The following is a 19,229-nucleotide window of genomic DNA, read 5'->3' on the forward strand; positions in this document are numbered from 1 at the left end:
GTGTATTTTCCACTATATAGTTTATCCCATCTGAAATATGTCTAAATTATTCAGATAGGATTTTTAAACCTCTGATGTTCTGATAATGGCTGGAAATTTGAGATTTATCTTTGTGGAGAGGTTTGGGTTTCCAAGAAAAGTCTTAAGAACCTTTTTTCCTTCTGACATACTTCAATTCCTTTAGTAGCTCTCCAACTGGACTAGACAATCCTACAAAAGCAAAAGAGACCCTAATTCTATCTGACATTGTGACACAATTTTATGTTAAACATATAGATACGTACATTTGGTTTGAGATGGAAGGAATGAAACTTCTTTAAGCCCATTTTGCTGAAATGTGACTTGAAATAGATTGTTACAAAACAAGGCTTATGAGAGGTTCAGTGCTCACTGCAATATTAATTACTTGGCTGTTAAAGCGAATAGCTTTTAGTGGGAACGACTGCCTCACAGATGTTTCTTATTGACGACATAAATGGGGAGGAAAACACTATCCCATTTTCACTTTTGGCCAGAAAACAAAAGACAAAGGAATAGATTGTGTCAGCTAATAGATTGGGTCGCTAAGGTAACCACGGCCTGTCTTTCAGGAGAGGTTTTAGGGGCTAAATTATGTTACTTCAAAATTCACATGTTGAAGCCCCAACCCCCAGTACCTCAGAATGGGACTGTACTTGCAGATAGGACCTTTAAAGTTTATGTGAGGTCATACAGGCGGATCCTTATCCAGTCTGACTGGCGTCCTTGTAAGAAAAGGGAGACATGCCAGAGATTAACGCCCACGATGGAAAGGCCAGGTGAGGCCACAATGAGAGGGGCCGTCTGTGAGCCAAGGAGCAAAGCCTCAGGAGAAACCAGTCCTGCTGACACCTTGCTCTTGGACTTCCAGTCCCCAGAACTGTGAGAAAGTGCGATTTTATTGTTAAGCTACCCAGTCTTAACAAACTAACACCAGAAGAATTAGGTATTGGGCATGCCCCCTGCCATCAATGCCATGACAGTTAAGGGAGACATCAGTGGAACTTAATAGATGAGCTTTTACTACCCAGAAGGGTCCTTAACAGAGGCTGAAGATCAGCTGGAGAAAAGGTTTTTCTGAGAGTAAAAGGGAAGTCAAATAGTGACGTATAATGATCAAACCTAGTGACAGATATCAACTAGGGGTGTGTGTGTGTGTGTGTGTGCATTTTTTTTTTTTTTGCTATATAATGTACCTTATAATACTAATGTACTTATGATTATTATCCAACAATTACTGATTTTCCCTTATTTTAATAGTTAACAATTGATGAAAAGATTTCACTGGCTAGAGTACTGGTCAACAGTGGGGGCTTCTGCCAGCTTGCCTAGGTTTGAATCTTGTCCCACAACTTCCTAGCTCTGTGATTTTCAGTAAACAATCTCCTTGTGCCTCAGGTTCTTCATCTGTAAAATGGAGATAATAGTACCTACTTCCTAAGGTTATATAAGAATTAAATGAGTTAATACATGTAAGGTGCCTAGAAGGATGCCTGGCATATAGTAAGCACCTAGTAAATGTTAGCTGTTTCAATTTTAACCTATCTCTGCACAAGAATAACAGATAGCAAAACCATTGTACCTACATTGTTTCACCAAGATACCTGCCAGCAGGTGCCAGCTGCCACTAAAATTGCCAGCATAGAGGTAAAGAAAAATAAGCAACCTGGAGAACTGGAGCTATTAAATCTGTGTTTAGAGTTATACAGGTTGCTGACAAAAATACAGATTCCTAGGGCTTGTCTCCAGAGATTCTGATTCACTAAGCTGGGGTAGAGTCCAGCAATCTGTTTTTTTAGAAGGCCATCTTGGGTAATTCTGATACAGGTAACTCTCAGAACATCCATTGAGAAATACTAATCAAAAGGAATTTCTTCTATAGTCAAGGCTATTAAATTATGGTAAATGCCATAACTTACTAATCATAAGTCTATAATAATTTTTATTTAAAGTACAGTGTTGAAATAAAGTGGTCTTAGGTGAATGATGAGTATGTAAACTTACTTTTTAAAAAATCATCTACTTCATCACGCAGTTATCAAGCCTAGTACCCATTAGTGATGAAAGAATCTGTACAACAAACCCCATGACATGGGTTTAGCTATATAACAAACCTGCACATGTAACCCTGAACTTAGAATAAAAGTTGAAAAAATAAATAAATTAATTAAAAAATCATCTGAAAGATAATTTCCATGAGTTTTAATAAATGTATTGATAAAATGGAAGAATAAATTCTGCATTAGATGTAGCCTTCAGTTTCTCCATAGACAAATTATTTCAAGTTGAGCCATTCAAGGTTAGGATGAATTGTGCAATGCTTCCTTCAGGTTTGTGGCCTGCCTGTGTGAACTGAGTTGAGGATACATGGAGAGCCAGGGCCTTGGAGAAAGGGAAGTAGCTGAACAAATGCTGGGCTCATTAGCATGGCTGGTGAAAGTGGTTTCAATCTGAAACTGGGCAGTTCAACCTGGAACTTGACAAAATATGACAGTGTTGCCTAGGGCCAAAACGAAGAGTGAACTCTGGGATAACCTTGGAACTGAAAAACCTGATTATTGTGTTATGAGAAATTCCTAAAATCGGTAGACCTGTTCATTACAGGGCTGCAGTGAATAGCCAGTACTTCTTTCCCATTGGTCAAGTTGCTGTGCTCGCTAAGCAGCAACTGCTCAGGTCAGGTGAGAGTGGTCATTATTGAGGAAATAAAGGTTGGGCCCAAAGAGGACAAATTCCAGATTACTGCAGCATTTGTGCTGAAACTCACCAGGGTTAAATTGATGAGCTTTCTGCGTGAAAGAAGGGAGTGGTGGTGATTTCCGGAGCTTGTAGCCAGGGTGATTAGCTCGCCTGAGTGTTATTAGGGTGTTATAAGGAGTGTTTCTTGGTTATTCAACAGTGTAGTTAGTATCGTTTCTTTTAAGAAAAAAAATTGATTTTAACACTTGAATAAAAGAAACACTGCTGATATTGTTTATCTTGAAAGCTTTCAAATCGGACTCCTTGAGATCTTCACGCTACTGTTAAGGTAAAGAGGTATTTTGATACTGTTGATTCATTGATTCTTCTGCCTTATAACCACAGAACATTTACTAAGAAATAAAAATTAAGGTTACTGAATGTATACTTTTGTGGCCATGTATTATACTGAGATATGTATGCATATCTGTGATTGTATATTATACTTAAGTTATAATTTGTGGTATATATATGTCATATATGCCATCAATTATTTCTAAGGCAACGTGCCGCAGCTTTATTAACGCAGCTGTTTTTCCTAATGTTTAGATTCAAGTCAACTAAAGTAAATCTTCCTACATAGCATTCATTCCTGAAATAAAAGGCATTTAAGTAGGCAGGTGCTTTTGTTTGAGTTTTCACTAGATCTTTTCTATCACCTGAAAGCTTTTTGCATTATTACCGCAGTCTCATTTTATTTAGACATTTGCCTCGAGGGGCTGAGACATTCTTATACCTTCATACTTAATTCCCCAAGACATTTAAAAATGTAATTTATTATTATAAAAGCACTGTATATTTCCTGTAGAGTATTTGAAAATTATAGAAAAGCATAATAAAAAATCATCCATAATTCCATTACTCAGTTATAACTACCATTAAAACATCACCTACTAATCTTCCTTTCAAGCTCTTTCTCTCTGTGTATGTGTATAAACACAAATGGATAACATACTCTCAAATTATATATGGTCATAGGTAGTTTTTCCACTTAACATTAGTGCATTGACATATTTCCATATTATTAAATATTCTTCAAAAACATGATTTTACCAACTGTATAGTATTTTGTTTTACCAATATTTCAGATTATTTTCAACTTGTTGTAATATTAATCCTCCTTGTGCAGAAATATTTTAACTCAACTCTGATTGCCTTAACACAGATTGAGGGAAAACTGGAGTTACTGACTAAAGGCAGTGACATCTGCAGGGATCTTGACACATTTTTGTCAAATTGCCCTCTGGAAACCTAACTTGTTTGCGTGCCCATTAGCAGAGCATCTGTTTCACCACATCTCCAAGAGGGAATGTAAACTTTAAAACATATACAATAGTCAAAGAGGATGTCTCGTTGCTTGTATGCCCTTTTCTTTTATTACTACTGAGACTAGACATATTTTCTCATAGTGGTTGACCTATAATCTTAAGGAGAGAACATATTTTTTAGCAAAATTGTTTAAGATCAACTATTACAAATTACATCTTACTCCCATTGCATCTATGTCTTCAGAGTTGTACTAATTCTCAGCCTCCCAGAGTCCATTAAGGGAATTTTTTTTTTTTTTTTTTTTTTTTTGAGACAGAGTCTTGCTCTGTCACCCAGGCTGGAGTGCAGTGGCGTAATCTCGGCTCACTGCAACCTCCGCCTCCCAGGTTCAAGTGATTCTGTTCCTCAGTCTCCCGAGTAGCTGAGACTACAGGCGTGGAGCACCACGTCTGGCTAATTTTTGTATTTTTTTTTAGTAGAGATTCACCATGTTGGCCAGGCTGGTTTTGAACTCCTGACCTCAGGTGATCCATGCGCCTTGGCCTCCCAAAGTGCTGGGATTACAGGCATGAGCCACTGCGCCCAGTCCCGGCTAATTTTTATATTTTTAGTAGAGATGGGGTTTCACCATGTTAGCCAGGCTGGTCCTGAACTCCTGACCTCAAGTGATCCGCCTGCCTCGGCCTTCCAAAATGCTGGGATTACAGGCGTGAGCCACCATACCTGGCCTATTAAGGGAATTTCTTTTAATGAAGGAAACTGTATTATGATAATAAATAGCCTGGGCTTGTGTGCAGGAGCAATGCCAAGCCTTGCAGTTTAGCCTTCTGTAACCCTGAAGAAGTTACTTAACCTTGCTATACTTCAGCTTAACTATAAAACAGGGTTGATAATACAATAATTCTCATGAGATAGGAATTTTTCAAGCTTTTCCAGTAAGAGGTAGCTATTATTAAAAATGAGAACTGTTTCTCTCCTAATTGCAGGAAAGCCCCAACAGATATAATCAAGGTATGATAGCATAACACTCTTAGAAGCCAGAACTTTTCAAGTCTCAACAAGTTGCATGTTTCACCTCATTATTCAACCGTTTACTGGGTAAAGGAGCAGCATAGATAGTGGGACTTTTTTTTAACGGGGTGTGAGGAAGTTGGCAATGAGATGGCTTGTGCTACTAGCCTAAGAATGACCTCAGGGCCTTGCAGGACACACAGTGCTTGCTGGTCTGAGGCTGGGCGCAGTGGCTCACACCTGTAGTCCCAGCACTTTGGGAGGCCGAGGTAGGAGGATCACTTGAGCGCAAGAGTTTGAGATTAGCCTGGTCAACATGGTAAAACTCCATCTCCACAAAAAATACAAAAATTAGCCTGGCGTGGTGGCATGCATCTGTAGTCCCAGCTACTCAGGAGGCTGAGGTGGGAAAATGACTTGAGCCCAGGAGGTCAAGGCTGCAATGAGCTGTGTTCACACCACTGCACTCCAGCCTGGGTGACAGAGTGAGACCCTGTCTCAAAAACAAAAACAGCAAAAAAGGTGCTAGCTGGTCTGGTACTTAGTACTTTAGAAAAGTTGCCCTGGATAACACGGTGAAACCCTGTCTCTACTAAAAATACAAAAAATTAGCCAGGCATGGTGGTGGGCGCCTGTAGTCCCACCTACTCGGGAGGCTGAGGCAGGAGGATGGCGTGAACCCGGGAGGTGGAGCTTGCAGTGAGCGGAGATCGCACAGCTGCACTCTAGCCTGGGTGACACAGTGAGACTCCGTCTCAAAAAAAAAAAAAAAAGAAAGAAAAAAGAAAGTTGCCCTGGAACTGACAGCATAAGTCCTCATCCATTTCTTCTCCCTTCTTCCCACAGGGTGAAAGAAAGCACTACTTCAATATTGCTGCTAAGCATATGATCATTCTAAGGTCATTACAAGAATTTGACTTGCCTTTAGCATTGTGCTTGTGTGTCCATCTGCCTGTCTCTCTAGGGATTTAGATTTTCATTCAAAGATTTTTCTGTCACTGAGAATTTAATTCTTGGTATATTTTTGAGAGTGTAAATTTTTTTTCAAGATTTAAAACAATAAGCTTCAAATGTTAGATTGTATCTAGAGTCTTCCACACTGAGGATGTGAATATGATATAGACTAGCTGTTCACCAGGCTGACCAGGTTGACTGCCAAATGGGTTGTTAGTAGTGCCAGAGGCACCCTGACATCACTCTCTGAACTGCTTTCTCTTTCACATTCTTGTATTTTTCCAGCTGACGGCCCAGAGGGTGGGTGCCAATTCCACCAGCAGCTGCAACTGAAAAGCAAGGTTCAGAAATGTCAGATATCCTCCGGGAGCTGCTCTGTGTCTCTGAGAAGGCTGCTAACATTGCCCGGGCGTGCAGACAGCAGGAAGCCCTCTTCCAGCTGCTGATCGAAGAAAAGAAAGAGGGAGAAAAGAACAAGAAGTTTGCAGTTGACTTCAAGACGCTGGCTGATGTACTGGTACAGGAAGTTATAAAACAGAATATGGAGAACAAGGTAAGAAAGGTCATAGCCAAGGTAACTGCAAAATAGTTGCATCTGTGGCTTTCTCCATCATAGAATAGCATGCCTTTTGCTCCTCACCCCTATCAGTATACTAGCACCTTGATTTCAAGTAAACATCTTGGATTTTCTTCCTCCTTGTCATGATTACAGTATTGATAAAATGTTCATTGCAGGAAATCTTTAAAATACAGAAAATGAAATAAGAAAATAAAAATCACTCACAATTCTAATACCTAGAAATAAACACTTCAGTATAGAACCTTCCACTTACTAATGAATTTCTTCTTAATAAATAATACATGTTTTCTGGAAAATAAGCAAAAATAAGAACCCTCTTAGTCCCACCACTGGAGAAAACCACAGCTATGCTTTGATAAATATTATAACATTTTCCTTCTATGTGTATGTGTGTACATGACACATACAATGTATTGCAACAGAAATAAGAGCACACTGCTTTGTAACCTGTTTTTTTTTTAACTTGATATGTTAAGTCCTACCTTGTGGATCTCATCATTTATCTAGTGGTTTCTTCAGTTATGAGATTGTAGCTGGAGACTTAAAGTCTCCTTTATTCTAGTAGAAAAATACTGTTCTTTGTTATAAACACACAAAGATGTTTATATGTTAATATAACAATGATTACGACTCTTTCTGGAGCTGACTAGAGAAACCGTATTAATAAGTAGAAATAATAATACTAGCAGCACTTATAAATGCTATGTGCCAGCCACTATTCTAAAGTCGTCGTTAAATATATTAACTTATTTAGCTCTTATAACAATTTGATGAAGAACTACTATTACAATGCAATGGGTGAAAAAAGGGAGGCACAGAGAGGTTAAGTAACTTGCCTAAGGTTGCACATCAAGTAAATGGTAGGGCCAGTTTTTGAACACAGGCAGACTGGCTCCAGAGTCTGTGTTCTTTGCAATATTATATTGCCTTTTATATGATAATCTAACCATTACATTTGGGAGAATAGAACTTTATGGCAGAAAGCATTATAAAATATTGAAATAATTTCTATGAAATTTTCAAAATATTGAGAATCATTTAGAATCGTTTCAGTGAAATCTTGACCACAGGCGAAGAGATGAAATGCCATCATGAAATCTCTACAAACTATACTTTTTCATGTCATATAAAATCTTGCTCCGATAAACTAAATGAAGCAAATTTATTTTTCTTTTTTACTTATCAATATAGTTGGGTGCAAGGGATGGTTGAGCAACTGGATTAAAAATGTATCAACATTAATTTTTATGGGCTAATATTTGCCTCAAAGCATTATAAAAATTTCAGGCAGTTGTTTATTCATGAGCTAAAATAAATGATATTCCATTTTAGCTGTATAAAATATCTTTATTTCATGAGGCTTTTGTCTTGTAATCTCAGAACTGGTCTTTAAGCAGGCTTGGGAGACTGAGTTTCAGCCCTTGATGAATGGGCTGGTTGCCAGCCCTTGTTGATTTGTACTGTCCCACAAAATAATATGAATAATAAGTGTTGTGGGCATTATTAAAGCTATTGGTCATCTGCAAATGACCGAGTTCAAATATTTGAAGCACGTCCTTGCTTTTGTTCCCTGAGAATATGTGTATCAAAATTTAGGACATATTTTGAGAAAAATTATCTTTATTACAGAGAGGATCAGAAGCAAAATGCATCAGAAAGCTTCGTGATCATACAGAGATGACAGAAGATTCTTACTTGACTCCATTTATTCACTCTATATATTGATACTTAAATTATTGGCCAATAAAATCTTTCTCTTTTTTCATATCCCCTTCCTAGCCTGAATGATGATACATCTGAGAGTGGGGAAACAAACGCCTGAAAATAAAAACAAAATCGAATGTTATCTATCCTCTAATTCCTTCTATCCAGTCTCAAGTCGTGCTTTTAGATACTTGATCAACGAAATTGCCTTGTATAAGCTACTGGGATGTTGTTTAAGAGCAATAGTTAAAACATGTCCTTTGCAAATATTCGAATTCTATGGCCCTTAAGTAGAAGGATGAAGTTTCTAGAAGTACTTTTGCAAACTAAACAGGACATAAGGGAACCAGGCATCTACCATGATTTTGACTTTCTAGAGGGGCAAAAGAACAGAAAAATATTAGAAAATTAAGCACTGAGCCAAGTTGACTTCGTTTTTTTATACTTGGATTGGTTTCTAGAATTGGAAATTTTGGAATTTCAGTTCTGATTGTGCTATTTAATTTGAAATATAAAATTGAAATCTGTTCAGAATTGAGCATATGTGTGGGTTTTTGTTTTGTTTTTCGTCATACTCTGAATCATTCAGTTTCCAGGCTTGGAAAAAAATATTTTTGGAGAAGAATCCAATGAGTTTACTAATGACTGGGGTAAGTATAAGAATCTTAATGTGTCTTTGTAATTTAATTATCATATGGTATTCTAGTCTCTAGTTTATACCATGAACTAAATGTTTGGAAGCCACTTACTGTAAACAACATAATATATTTGAATGTTAAGGTTCATTCAATTTCTACCTCAGAATATCATGCCATTTAACTTAAGTAGAGAGATGTGGTATCTTAGAATAATTTAGCAAGTCCATGTATCATTTTAGATATAAATCTGTGGCATTTAAGTAACTTATAACTCAAGCTTTGGGAAAATTGCATGGCCCTTTGGGAATCTAATGTAAGTTATTAATGCCCCAAAGATGCCCATCTACAAAATTATGCAGACAATTTCAGATCCTAGGTTTAAACCCATCTGTGCGCTCTTGGGGGAAGTCCATGGACCTTGGCTAAAAGTACAGAGGTGGCCATGGTTCTGAAATACTGTGTGATCTTGAGCAAATTAACTCATCATTTCTCTAAGTCTCAGAACCTCTGTGAAGTACTTGGATTAACTAAAAGATTCCTTTTAGTACTAAGTTTTTTGGTTTGTTTGTTTGTTTTTGAGACAGAGTTGCTCTGTTGCCCAGGCTGGAGTGCAGTGGCACAATCTCGGTTCACTGCAACCTCCACCTCCTGGATTCAAGCCATTCTCCTGCCTCATCCTCCTGAGTGGCTGGGATTACAAGCATGTGCCACCACACCTGGCTAATTTTTGTATTTTTAGTTAGAGATGGGATTTCACCATGTTGGCCAGGCTGGTCTCAAACTCCTGACCTCAGGTAATCTGATTTCTTTCAGAGAAACAATTTTTTTTTTTAGTTTGTTTGGATTTAATAGTAGAAGAATAAAATAGTGAACATTAAATACTGATCATGTGACAAATACTTATATATCTAGAAACACAATTACAAAGAAAAAATGAGTTTCTAGATTAACTCTGAAAATTTTTTAGTCTCCTTCATGCACCACATATTAAGATGCAGTTAGTTCTATGTTAGTAATACGGGAAAGAAATCTTTTAAACCTCTGAAGGTTAAAAATAACACTTATGCCTGACTTATAAGCAATCTTACATTTAAAAATCTACGCTTGACTACTTCACAAACAGCTATTTTAATACATCATTTGTCTAGAATTATAGAGGCAAAAGGCATAGCCACATCCATTTTCCTGTTTGTTAAAAGGGCAGAGAAATGTGGAGAGAGGAAGAGGAGAGATGGTGATGATGATATTGCAGGCAAGACCAGATCATAGGAAGGGATTTAGATTTCCCTCTCAGTGGGATGGGAGGTCTCTGGCAAATTTCAAGCAAAGGAGTGATATAATTTCTTCCTTTGAATGATCCCATAAGTTTTACTGAGCCCAGAGTAGGTGTGCAGTAAGTAGCCATTATTAGCTTTATTATTCCCCAACTTTAACAGTCTAATTTACTTTGAATTAAGTTAATTTAACTAAATTTGACTGTTTCTTGCTGATTCAGTCATCACTGTAATAGATGTATATTGTGCTTCCCACACTTTACTGGTCATGTAATCGCCTCAGGATCTTGGTTAAAATTCAGTAGGTCGGCCGGGCGCGGTGGCTCACGCCTGTAATCCCAGCACTTTGGGAGGCCAGGGCGGGTGGATCACAAGGTCAGGAAATTGAGTCCATCCTGGCTAACACGGTGAAACCCCGTCTCTACTTAAAAAATACAAAAAAATTAGCCGGGCGTGGTGGCGGGCGCCTGTAGTCCCAGATACTCAGGAGGCTGAGGCAGGAGAATGGCGTGAACCCGGGAGGCGGAGCTTGCAGTGAGCGGAGATCGCACCACTGCACTCCAGCTTGGGTGACAGAGCAAGACTCCGTCTCAAAAAAAAAAAAAATTTCAGTAGGTCTGGGGTGGCATCTGAGGTTCTGATTTTTTTTTTTTTTTTGTTAGATGGAGTCTCCCTCTGTTGCCCAGGCTGGAGTGCAGTGGCACAATCTTGGCTCACTGCAGCCTCCGCCTCCCAAATTCAAGCGATTCTCCTGCCTCAGCCTCCCAAGTAGCTGGGATTACAGACATGCTAAGCTACCTGCCACCACGCCTAGCTAATTTTTTTATACTTTTATTAGAGACAGGGGTTTCACTATGTTGACCAGGGTGGTCTTGAATTCCTGACCTCAAGTGATCTGCTTACCTCAGCCTCCTAAAGTACTGGGATTACAGGCATGAGCCACCACGCTCAGCCTAAGGTTCTGACTTTCTAATAAGCTCCCAGCTGATATAGACACTGCTGGTCCTTGGAATAAGAAGGGTAGAAGTAGCTACCTAGATAGCTACTAGATAGCTAGGAGTATCTAAAACGTTCCAAAGTGCCATGTTTTCTTAGTTTTTAAGATTTTTTTTCCTCCACTGCTGTCACTTCTTGTTGCTATTAACTTGCCTATTTTTTACCAGCCTCTTCCCTCACTTCTGTCAAGGGCTGAAACCAGATTAATCAAGGGTCTAAGAAGCATGTTTAAAGCGATGGTAAAGCACCTGGCCTCGGTAACTTATCGTTTCATTTGAAGAAGCAGCTTTGCTTATGTTCTGGTTCTCAATGGGCTCCACAGAGGAGAGCTATTTATATGTATACCATTTAGAGGCATAAAGTTTTACTACATTTAAAGATTGGTATATACCATTTTATGTTACTTAGCATAAACAATTTTAAGTTAAAAGCAATATCATATAAGGAGGTAGAAGCACTTCGGTGTGTTGAAAAACCTCCATTCTTTTCAATAACATATTCAGACACGGACAGGGTGACTTAAGTATATAAAAAGTCAAAAGACAAATTTTAAAAAGATTAATGATCAGGAATTCAGGAATTGTTAACTGGCCTATGTATCCCTTAACTGGGATACAAAATTGTGCCCACATGGGCATTTTTCTAGGGAGGTCTTTTGATTCCTGAAACCCATCTCTTACTATTCAGGTTAAGTGCCTGGGTAGCCACTGAGCATCTGACTTGATGAAGCCCCACCAGGTGATTCTGGCAGTCAGCCAGGCATAGGAACTGCTGGGATGGATATATTGCCCTCAATCTAAGTGCACAGCTTTTGATTCACTCTCTCACTGGCTCACTCTCTCTCTGTCTCTCTTGCTTGCTCTCTCGCTCTCTCTGTCTCAATCTTTGTCTCATTCTCTCGCTGTCTCTCTCGCTCTCTGTCTCTCTTGCTCTGTCTCTCTCTGTGTCTCTTGCTCTGTCTCGCTCTCTTGCTCTGTCTCACTGTCTCTCGCTCACTGTCTGTCTCACTCTTTTGCTCTCTCTCGCTCTCTCGCTCTGTCTCGCTCTCTCTCGCTCTCTCGCTCTGTCTCGCTCTCTCTCGCTCGCTCTCTGTCTCACTCTTTTGCTCTCTCTGTCTCTCTGTCTCTTTCACTCTGTCTCTCTCAGTCTCTCCCTGAATCTCTCGCTCTCTGTCTCGCTCTGTCTCTCTTGCTCTCTCTCGCTCTTTCGCTGTCTCTCTCGCTCTTTGTCTCTTGCTCTCTGTCTCTTGCTCTGTCTCGCTCTCTCGCTCTGTCTCTCTCTTGCTTGCTCTCTGTCTCACTCTTTCCCTCTGTCTCTTTCACTCTTCCTGTCTCTCTCTCGCTCTCTGTCTCTCTCGCTCTGTCTCACTCTCTCTGTCTCACTCTCTCGCTCTGTCTCTCTCTTGCTTGCTCTGTCTCACTCTTTTGCTCTGTCTCTTTCACTCTCCCTGTCTGTCTCTCTTGCTCTCACTCTGTCTCACTCTGTCTCACTCTGTCTCACTCTCTCTGTCTTGCTCTCTCTGTCTCTCGCTCTTTTGCTGTGTCTCTCGCTCTCTCTGTGTGTCTCTCTCTCACTCTCTTGCTCTGTCTCTCTCGCTCTTTCGCTCTGTCTCGCTCTCTGTGTCTCTCGCTCTCTCTCTGTCTCTCTCTCTCGCTCTCTCTGTCTCTCTCACTCTTTAGCTCTCTCTCTCTGTTCTTTCTCCACTGAAACTCTTGAAATGTAATGGCTTATCGTGTGGCTTTACCCTAGGGGAAAAGATTACCTTGAGGTTGTGTTCAACAGAGGAGGAAACAGCAGAGCTTCTTAGCAAAGTCCTCAATGGTAACAAGGTGGCATCTGAAGCATTAGCCAGGGTTGTTCATCAGGATGTTGCCTTTACTGACCCAACTCTGGATTCCACAGAGATCAATGTTCCACAGGACATTTTGGGAATTTGGGTGGACCCCATAGGTAAGTATAGGAAAGTATGTTTGTTCTTATTTGCAATCTTTTTTTTGGTGGTGGGGTTGGGGATGGGTGTTGGAAAAATAAAAATTATTGAGTGTAGTTTAACTCTGCTAGAAGTTTTTAAAATTTTAAAGTTTTAAAACAATGAGAGTTGAGGTGTATGTGTCATGTGTTCTGTATATATACATATATATTATAGCCGTGTGTATATATATACATATCTATAACAGGTGTGTGTATATACACACACATACATACAGGCACACATGCAAAGATGAATTAACTTCTCTTCAAAAGACTTCAGGGACCAGACTGGTAAGTAAATGAGAGAATGAAGTGAGAGCAGTTATGACCAATTGAGCACACATACCATTTAAAGAGCACTTAGCTTTAGCAGATTGTTACCATATGGGAGTACAGGCCAGCTCTTCAGATTTTTAAAGAGAAACCAAAATCCAAGGTTTTCAGCGATATATCCCAATTTCTAACCGTTAGCTACTAATTCAGTTAAAGAAGGAAACAATCAAAAAAACACAGTACAGGTCAAGCAAAAAGCTGAATGTGACGCATGAGCAGTTTGTGAGCCCTGCATGAGCTCTACATTTTTTTTGGTCATGATTGTGATAGAACCATAATGTATAATCCATTGTTTTGAAAATGTAACCCTTTTTTTTGAGACAGAGTCTCGTGTTGCACACAGGCTGGAGTGCAGTGGCACAGTCAGAACTCACTCACTGCAGCCTTGTCCTCCTGAGCTCAAGCAATCCTCCTATCTCAGCTTCCCAAGTAGCTGGGACCCAAGTAGGTGGCAGAGTTGCATGCCACCTCACTAGGCTAATTTTTTATATTGTTTTTAGAGAAGGGGTTTTTACCATGTTTCCCAGGCTGGTCTCGAACTCCTGGGTTCAAGCGATCTGCCTGCCTTGGCCTCCTAAAGTGCTAGGATGATTACAGGCATGACCTACCATGCCCAGCCAGCCTTTATCTTCAATGATGCTATTAATACAAGTTCTAGGTAATAATTTTAATAAGCTCCCCCTTCCTTTTTTTTCTTCCCCACCCAACACAATGGGACCATTCAAGGACCAGGCAAACTCCTCTCTGGGCCCTTCCCATCCTACAAGTGCATTCACAGGATGATACTGAAATGGGTTTAATCTTCAGATAATTATATCACATTCAGCCAGTGGATGATATATGGAAACTAAAAACCTTTCCCCAAATCTTTGATCATTTAAGGGTAAATTGGCATCAGTTATAGTTTCTGAGGGACAGAGATCTCCTGTTTCTTGGTTCCACCCTGAATTGATTCTGTTTTTGAGCTCTTTGAGTCTTTTGCCAGGCACATCCTTAGCCGTGTGTTGACTCCCTAGACGTCAGCAGTCAGCTGCTGGCATGTACATCTCTTAAGGGGAAACCTAGTTTCTCTGCCTCTGTTTCATAGGAGCTCCGTTAATTTCTTTTTTTGGTGCCACCATCATTGTCTCTTTCTTCCTTCTAACTTGAGGGACCAAATAATAATAGTAAAAGATAATATTACCTGTGACCTATTACAGGAGGGGGGCTTTTCTTTTTTTCTTTTCCTTTTTAAAATGTTTGTGGGTACATAATAGGTGTATATATTTATGGGGTAGATGAGATGTTTTGACACAGGCACACAATGTGAGATAAGCACATCATAGAGAATGGGGTATCCATCCCTTTGAGCATTTATCCTTTGAGTAATAAACAATCTAGTTACACTCTTTATTTTAAAATGTACAGTTAAGTTCTTATTGATTATAGTTACCCTATTGTGCTATCAAATAGTAGGTCTTTTTTTTTCACCCATTGGAAGGAGGCTTTTCCATCTCACATTGTACTAGTCCTCTGATTAGTAGTATTTCTAAAATAATCCCACCAATTATTCTGGTTATTACTTTTTCAATGCTTTTGATAAGTAACAAATATTTGAATGCCTGTTATATACAAATTGCTATGCCACAGGAACTATAGACACATCCTCTCCCTTCAAGAGTTCTCACAGTCAGGAAAATGAAACACAAGCAATTTAAAAGTAAAGTACAAGAGGCCAAATAACAATTCAATACAGTGACATCCAAAGGTAAAAAATTATTGGTTACCAAATCAGTAGAAGAGAGAAGTCATATGGAACAGAGTCTTCTAAATGATCTTTACCTGAATCCAAACACATTTGTTTCCTTTTTCAGATTCAACTTATCAGTATATAAAAGGTTCTGCTGACATTAAATCCAACCAGGGAATCTTCCCCTGTGGACTTCAGTGTGTCACCATTTTAATTGGTGTCTATGACATACAGACAGGGGTTCCCCTGATGGGAGTCATCAATCAACCTTTTGTGTCACGAGATCCAAACACCCTCAGGTAAAAGGCAAATATTTTTGGTATATTATGGTTGTTAGAACTTACGACCTCAGCTTTGCTTGTTGTTAGGATTATCACTATATGACATTCCCATGACTTAACACATGGGAGTGTTGCCATTGAAAGTCTGCGTATTTGAATTAAAGTTCTATTTTCAATCTTGGATTTGCGTAATTTTATTTCAGGCCAAGTGCATGCTGGTAGAAATTTTAAAATTAATACTATCCTGTAGAAATCATAGTTTTACATTTGGAATATAGTAATCCTGTTCCCTGTTTCTAGAATCCACTCAAAACCAGATAAGTAGAGTGGTGGTAACACTGCCTTCCAATACATTGGGAATAAGACAGCTGCCATCGCTGTATAGCCAGTTGAACTTTGGTATAATTTTAGAAGTTCAAAACAAAATGTGAAAATTATCCAATGAAAAGATTGGTAGGCATGGCCAGGATCAGAACCTAACTCACACTCCCTTTCTGCCTCCTCCCTTCCACTCTTCCATGCACTCTTAAACAGAGCGTAGAAAGTGGCCAGGACTCAGCTGCCTCTGATCCATGGCCTGTGCTTTGGGGTTGACTCCAGGGCATGGCAAAGTCCAGGTGGAACAAGCAGTTCAGCTTTTTATTGAAATAGGTCATATTTTTTCACTTATATAGGATTACATATTTTTATTGAACCTGAGCTGCTTCAAGTAACAATCATTTGCTCTTTAATAGTCATAAGTTTATACCTCTTAAGTTTTAATATTTTCCCCCTACCCCCACCATCTTCCAAACTAAAAATAGGTTTCTGCTATCTTTAAAAGGTTAATAAGAAATTAAAAAGAATTGGAACAATATGCAGACATAATCATGGCCTAGAAATGGAGGTGGTCAACAAAATAGTTTATGGCACAGATTCAGAGTGAGACTTTGTGGGTTTGAATGCAGATTCTACCACTTTCTAGCTGAGTGGGCCTCAGCAAGCTACTTACTTTCTCTAAGCCTGTTTCCTTATCTGTAAATATGTAACAACATAGACAGTAAGTTAAGCATTGATAAAGGGAAGGTGCTATAATTATTGTGGTTGCCAAAACTAATAACATTGAGTCCATCTTTCTTTGTGTTGGAAGCCAACGTGAAACTAGTGAATAAGAGAATGAAAAGGAGTTACCAAATAAAGAAAAACTTGTTATAGGGATTGTAGAATATTTGCAGATCAAAAAGAGATATCACTTTTCTATTCCTTTTTCCCTACTAAACTTTAAATACTAAAAGTTGTAATGAAATTTTGCAATGGTTCTGGAAGCTGGAAACCCCATAAATGTTTTAGTGTTGTCCTAGATTGATGTGATAATGCCATAAAATTGAAAGCATTTCTAATTGCAACAACTCAGGCAGCTGCATGCATATAAGTAACTTTCTGAAATAAACTAGCTACCTGATATCTATTCCTAGACTTAAAGGTGTTAAGATTCACCATGTTATGATGAATTGTGTATTTCTTCGTATCATTAAGTTTGAAAGTGACATGAGTAATGAAAAACAAATGTGATAATCATCACCAATTGAAATTTTTCTTCTACAGGTGGAAAGGACAGTGCTATTGGGGCCTTTCTTACATGGGGACCAACATGCATTCACTACAGCTCACCATCTCTAGAAGAAACGGCAGTGAAACACACACTGGAAACACCGGCTCTGAGGCAGCATTCTCCCCCAGTTTTTCAGCCGTAATTAGTACAAGTGAAAAGGAGACTATCAAAGCTGCATTGTCACGTGTGTGTGGAGATCGCATATTTGGGGCAGCTGGGGCTGGTTATAAGAGCCTATGTGTTGTCCAAGGCCTCGTTGACATTTACATCTTTTCAGAAGATACCACATTCAAATGGGACTCTTGTGCTGCTCATGCCATACTGAGGGCCATGGGTGGGGGAATAGTAGACTTGAAAGAATGCTTAGAAAGAAATCCAGAAACAGGGCTTGATTTGCCACAGTTGGTGTACCACGTGGAAAATGAGGGTGCTGCTGGGGTGGATCGGTGGGCCAACAAGGGAGGACTCATTGCATACAGATCCAGGAAGCGGCTGGAGACATTCCTGAGCCTCCTGGTCCAAAACCTGGCACCTGCAGAGACGCATACCTAGAGGAACTCTAACCCCGGTGTACCTGTATAAACTGAACTGTGAAACTGTTTCGGTTATCTCTGTCTTTTGAGGATGGCTTTGTCCTGTTGCTGGTTAACATTCACCTTCCTCTTTTGAGGAGTATTTTTCCATTATGTATTCATAATAATGTTAATTTCAATAAATGACATTCATGCAGCAATTATATTGGTGTATGAAATTCTTACAGTGAATATTGTGCTGTTAGTGCTGCTTGAAACATTTCAATAAAATATTGACCAGGAGCAGTGGCTCATGCCTGTAATCCCGGGACTTGGGGAGGCCAAGACGGGCGGATCACGAGGTCAAGAAATCAAGACCATCCTGGCCAACATGGTGAAACCCCATCTCTACTAAAAATATAAAAATTAGCTGGGCTTGGTGGTGTGTGCCTGTAGTCCCAGCTACTCAGGAGGCTGAGGCAGGAGAATCGCTTGAACCCGGGAGGCATAGGTTGCAGTGAGCCGAGATTGTGCCACTACACTCCAGCCTGGTGACAAAGCGAGACTGTCTCAAAAAAAAAAAAAAATTGATGAACGAGGAAAAAATCCTGTTAAATTAGTAAAACTATGCTAAACATCTAAGCGATAGAAATTTCTCTGAAATATAAGGGAGAATACAGGAGGGGTTTGCTTGAGTTTTGTTTCCTCTCGAAGGGAAAAATCTGCAATTTTAGCCTGTTGGCAGAACATTTAGAACTTAATCTGCGTAAGTTAGCCAAGTTTATGTACTTTTAACAGTATTCTTGTATTTCTTATAGGAAGTAAAGCCTGGAACACTGTGGGCTCCCCCTTTGCAGAGACAGGGAGAGACAGGGATACACACACACACACACACACACACACACACACACACACACATACACAGTGAAAGACACAGACAAACAGAAAGACACATATACACACACAGAAGCAAAAGAGTACAATGAGTAGAGGTTTCTGCAATTTTTGCATATTTACTACACTTTACCAAAAACCAGAGGTGGACTTTAGATATATACAACCCTTGTGTACCAGCATCCCACAGTGAATGTTCTCTGAAGTGGACATAAAGTACTTTTTCTGTATTCTCTGTGGCAGGCCTGGTAACCAGAGAGTGCCAACTGCAGGGATCAAATCCTCGGCTCTGACTTCATTCTGCCCTACGCCCCCTGGGGGCCAAAGGATGTTTCTACAGATCCTCTATTTACAAATGCATGAAAATAACAATCTTATTTTCTAATGTCCTTACACTTAAAAATTTTTGACAAATTATGTTTATGTCATATGATATGATGCTTTGACATATGTATATATTGCAGAAGGGCTAAATCAAACTAACATTACCTTACATTTTTTTGTGTGTGTGTGTAGTGAGAACACTTAAAATCTGTTAGCAATTTTCAGGTAAACAATACGTTGTTATTAACTATAGTCACCACGTCATAGGATCTTTTGAACTTATTCTTCCTGTTAACTAGGATTTTCTATCCTTTGACCAACATCTCCCAAACACTCCAGCCCCTGATAACCACCATTCTACTCTCTGCTTCTGTGAGTTTGACTTTTTCAGTTTCCATGTGTAAGTGAGGC

At 39.3% G+C, this 19,229-nt stretch overlaps 1 protein-coding gene across 8 annotated transcripts in view, besides 1 other annotated feature; it reads left to right on the forward strand.

The window, feature by feature from the left end:
• The window catches only part of INPP1 (inositol polyphosphate-1-phosphatase), a 28,077-nt gene extending 10,174 nt beyond the window's left edge, over nt 1–17,903 (forward strand). For 5 of the 8 annotated variants that reach the window (XM_047444192.1, XM_047444195.1, NM_001128928.2 and 2 more), the window contains 5 exons: nt 6,277–6,544; nt 8,865–8,925; nt 12,933–13,133; nt 15,341–15,515; nt 17,082–17,903. In XM_047444192.1, the coding sequence (XP_047300148.1) occupies nt 6,341–6,544; nt 8,865–8,925; nt 12,933–13,133; nt 15,341–15,515; nt 17,082–17,640 (1,200 nt within the window). In that variant the 5' untranslated portion in view covers nt 6,277–6,340 and the 3' untranslated portion in view covers nt 17,641–17,903. Of the gene's footprint in view, nt 1–5,883; nt 5,937–6,276; nt 6,545–8,864; nt 8,926–12,932; nt 13,134–15,340; nt 15,516–17,081 lie in introns of all 8 variants that reach the window. The other 3 variants (XM_024452875.2, XM_047444194.1, XM_047444196.1) reach the window with 1 other exon arrangement.
• Nucleotides 6,175–6,554: an enhancer, noted in NCBI's record as "active region_16859". NCBI's record gives its function as "activates an Ori minimal core promoter by ATAC-STARR-seq in GM12878 lymphoblastoid cells {active_cell/tissue: GM12878}" and the evidence as "EXISTENCE:reporter gene assay evidence [ECO:0000049][PMID:35858748]".
• Nucleotides 17,904–19,229: the final 1,326 nt, after the last annotated feature.

Source organism: Homo sapiens, chromosome 2, assembly GCF_000001405.40.
Source record: "Homo sapiens chromosome 2, GRCh38.p14 Primary Assembly".
NCBI lineage: Eukaryota > Metazoa > Chordata > Mammalia > Primates > Hominidae > Homo > Homo sapiens.